The sequence below is a fragment of the Homo sapiens genome, chromosome 10 (genome assembly GCF_000001405.40).
Source record: "Homo sapiens chromosome 10, GRCh38.p14 Primary Assembly".
NCBI lineage: Eukaryota > Metazoa > Chordata > Mammalia > Primates > Hominidae > Homo > Homo sapiens.
In genome coordinates, this window is record NC_000010.11 from 125,516,508 (window position 1) to 125,521,137 (window position 4,630).

The 4,630-nt window shown below is 45.5% G+C and overlaps 1 annotated feature.

Moving 5' to 3' along the window:
* Nucleotides 1,392-2,134: an enhancer, noted in NCBI's record as "H3K27ac hESC enhancer chr10:127206468-127207210 (GRCh37/hg19 assembly coordinates)". NCBI's record gives its function as "activates a minimal SCP1, AML or CMV promoter by ChIP-STARR-seq in primed H9 embryonic stem cells {active_cell/tissue: H9 hESC(primed)}" and the evidence as "EXISTENCE:reporter gene assay evidence [ECO:0000049][PMID:30033119]".

Genomic DNA, 4,630 nt, shown 5'->3' on the forward strand with positions numbered 1-4,630 from the left:
GGTGACTGTGATCAAAATAAAAGATGATTCCTGAGAAACAGAAACCTGCAAATGCCGTGACAAACTTACACCTCGGGTTTCTTATGAACACATCTGAACCTGTGACTGGAATGTTCTCACAGTTATTTAAGTTCCCTGAGTACGGTCAGTTTTCCTCCTCACTGTATCATTTTGTTGAAATGTAAGAAAAAGAAAACTGAGAAATGATATCCTTTCAAATAAGTGTCAGAGAGCCAAAAAATGTAATCATCCAAGTACAAACATTTCCAAACCTCTCAGATATAAGACAACACAGTTAAATCATTTTTATTATAGGCATAAAATAAAAATTATAAAATATTAAATGTTTATGAGTATGGACAATGCTTGTTAACAATTTCCAGTGTAGATGGAATGACTTAGCAATCAAAATTATCTCATAATGATTTCCATGATACATTAAGTTCACTCAGTTTCACCCTCAGGCATTGAGTGGCAAAAGACAATAGTATCTTTATCATATTTGAAATATCAGATCTACATTCAAGAACCTTTCCACTGAGGCCTTTCCCTTCTCTGTTTCCTAGTCTTTCAATGGTGCACAGCAAGACAGAAGGACAGTTCAATCCCTTGGGGAGGTGGGTGTGAGCAGAAGGCTCCGTTCCATCTCATGTCCCCTGAGGCAGCTACACCCGGGCAAGTTCTGTCTCCAGCCAAACTTAAGAAGGGATGGGTCAGGAAAAGGTATCATTTTCTGTGGAAAGTGTTGGAAGATGGCAAAAGCCATTCTGCTGCAAGGGCCCTTCATCCAGGCTTTGTAGTGTGGGGGTCACAGCTGGACCCACACATTTGTGTTATATCTGAGCCCAATGACAACTTTCATTCGGGCTGGCCAGGTGAGGTAGAGGAAGTGACTGCCTCTCTCAGGCCCCATTGGAGGCTCCCTTAAACGATACCCCCAATTTTCTGAGACTATGCAGCCCCCAGAAAGCCCACTTAGATTATAATAGCTTACTAAGCCAGTATAGACTGGCAAAGAGGTTGATAGAAATTCAATGCAAAAGCCCACAGGTAGGGTTGAACAAGGTAGACATCTGTGCAGGGGATGGAACTGGCAGAGCTACAGGGGCCCAGAGCAGGGATGTGGCACCCCACTGGAGTGACGTGGGTGTCCACACTCAGGGGAAGGCAGCTGCCCAGTGCAGGATGTTGGAATGGGTAAAGAAGGATATCTTCGAAAAACTTCCCCTCCCCCTCCCCCTCCCCCTCCCCCTCTCCCTCTCCCCACGGTCTCCCCCTCCCTCTCTTTCCACGGTCTCCCTCTGATGTCGAGCTGAAGCTGGACTGTACTGCTGCCATCTCGGCTCACTGCAACCTCCCTGCCTGATTCTCCTGCCTCAGCCTGCCCAGTGCCTGCGATTGCAGGCACGCGCCGCCACACCTGACTGGATTTTGTATTTTTTTGGTGGAGACGGGGTTTTGCTGTGTTGGCCGGGATGGTCTCCAGCTCCTAACTGCGAGTGATCCGCCAGCCTCGGCCTCCCGAGGTGCCGGGATTGCAGACGGAGTCTGGTTCACTCAGTGCTCAATGGTGCCCAGGCTGGAGTGCAGTGGCGTGATCTCGGCTCGCTACAACCTCCACCTCCCAGCCGCCTGCCTTGGCCTCCCAAAGTGCCGAGATTGCAGCCTCTGCCTGGCCGCCAACCCGCCTGGGAAGTGAGGAGCGTCTCTGCCTGGCCACCCATCGTCTGGGACATGAGGAGCCCCTCTGCCTGGCTGCCCAGTCTGGAAAGTGAGGAGCGTCTCTGCCCGGCCGCCATCCCGTCTAGGAAGTGAGGAGCGTCTCTGCCCGGCCGCCCATCGTCTGAGATGTGGGGAGCGCCTCTGCCCCGCCGCCCCGTCTGGGATGTGAGGAGCGCCTCTGCCCGGCCGCGACCCCGTCTGGGAGGTGAGGAGCGTCTCTGCCCGGCCGCCCCGTCTGAGAAGTGAGGAGACCCTCCGCCCAGCATCTGCCCCGTCTGAGAAGTGAGGAGCGTCTCCGCCCGGCAGCCACCCCTTCCAGGAGGGAGGTGGGGGTCAGCCCCCGCCAGGCCAGCCGCCCCGTCCGGGAAGGAGGTGGGGGGGACAGCGCCCGCCCGGCCAGCCGCCCCTACTGGGAAGTGAGGAGCCCCTCTGCCCAGACCACCCCGTCTGGGAGGTGTACCCAACAGCTCATTGAGAACGAGCCAAGATGACAATGGCGGTTTTGTGGAATAGAAAGGGGGGAAAGGTGGGGAAAAGATTGAGAAATCGGATGGTTGCCGGGTCTGTGTAGAAAGAGGTAGACATGGGAGACTTTTCATTTTGTTCTATGCTAAGAAAAATTCTTATCCTGTTGATCTGTGACCTTACCCCCAACCCTGTGCTCTCTGAAACATGTGCTGTGTCCACTCAGGGTTAAATGGATTAAGGGCAGTGCAAGATGTGCTTTGTTAAACAGATGCTTGAAGGCAGCATGCTCCTTAAGAGTCATCACCACTCCCTAATCTCAAGTACCCAGGGACACAAACACTGCGGAAGGCCGCAGGGTCCTCTGCCTAGGAAAACCAGAGACCTTTGTTCACTTGTTTATCTGCTGACCTTCCCTCCACTATTGTCCTATGACCCTGCCAAATCCCCCTCTGTGAGAAACACCCAAGAATGATCAATAAAAATAAATAAATAAATAAATAAATAAATAAATAAGAAGGATATCTTCATGGGGTGGGGGGTGGAGACAGGTTGATGAGGGCTGTCAGGGCCCGTGTGCATGAGGAGGGCATTCACATTGGACTCTGATTAAATAAATACTTAAGGTTAAGGATAATGGGAGCCAGGTTTCTTGTTGCCAGAGAAAGGAGTTGCAATTATCGAAAAGAAGAAAGCTGAAAACTTGTGAGTGTTGGTGTGAACACATGGTTTTCAATGTATACAGAAAGAGAAACAAATGTCAATGTCAATGTGTGTATGTGTGTGTACATATATTTCCTAGTTCTGTCCACCAAGAGAACCTGGAAGCAGGGACATTCCAATAGCATTGAGCACACCCAGCACCTAGATATTGGTTTCTAAATTCCATTCTTGCTGAAAGAAACCTGGGCTCCCTGAAGAGATGGCTGCTTTCATGGCTGGCACAGAGAAAGAACAAAATGAGCTTGGAATTTCTTGTCGTGCCCAAAACTAAGAAAGTACTTAAGAAATGATGGGATTATGCCAAAAAGACACAGGAGCCAGGTTGAAGGGGCTCTCATTGCCAAATCTAGGACAATTTGAGGGTCAAACTAAATCATCATTTTAGTAATGGATTATGACCCACTGGATAAAATAGGAAACCACGAGTCCACATTGATATAAATAAATGAATAAATTGAAAGTATGATGAGGTAGGATGTTTACATAGTCTCAAATTACCTCCCCACAAAATACTTATTAATTACAAAGAGGAAAAAAACAAAATCAAATAGAAAAATTAATTACAAATAGAAAAAAAAGGTCGAGCAGATTCCACCTTAATCAAGTGATCAAAGTGAGCAAAATAAGTAATGAGACAAATTGAGATTTTGTGCCCCCTGAGAGGAAGCAGCCTCATGTCTATGGCATTCCTGCCACAGATACATACCATGAATCTAATCTTGAGGAGATATCAAACCCAAATTGAGGAAAATTCTGCAAAATAACTAGCCTGTAAACTTTGAAGTGTGAAGGTCATCATAGGGAAAGAAAAACTGAGGAGATTAAAGAGAAATGACAACTATCACATGTGACTCTGAACTGGATCCTTTTGCTATAAAGGTCATTATCAGGACAATTAGAAAAACTTGAATGTCATCTGGGGGTCAGATAACAGTGTTATATCAGTGTTAATTTCCTGAGTGTATGGTTGAATTTTATTTATGTAGAATACCCTTGTCTGTAGAAATACACAATACTTACTAAATATTCTTATTGGCGACTTTCTCTGGTTCCTAAAAATAGTTCTTTGCACTATACTTGCAATTTTTTCATACATTTAAGATTTTTTAAAAAGTATTTGATAATTACTTGTCTCTTCAATAGACATTGACTCTCCTTGTACAATCGGCCATGGCCAGCCTCATTAGGTTTTGCACAATCTGACATTCTGAAATACACACATTGATGAGGAGATGGAGTTTGGGAACATTGAAAATAGCTGACTCTACAGACAATTCCATTTTTGTTCTTATTACTACAAATAGATTCTTCATTTTCTTTGTTAATCACATTCTCTGTTTATCAGGGATCTCTACATTGCAGTTTTCAGCTAATGATTATGTCCAAATGAATGCATCCTATCTTGCTGAACATGATTCTTCAGTAGATGCAGCAACATGACTTCTTGAAAGATTATATCCCTAATGGTGCAAATTATTTAATTATATCATTTCAAAATGAGTCTTTCACTTTGATTTATATAAATTCCAGTATACGTTCTCCTAATTCATGAAACTTATATACCTGAGCCTTTGAGCCCGATACGCCCAGTAAGTAAAAACCTTTTGGCAAGCAAATTTGCCATCTATTTACTTCCTTCTTGACCTAAACCTTCATTTCTCTTAAAACCATCTCTTACCTCCTCAAGGAAGCCTTGGAGTCAACCCTTCCTTGGAATTTT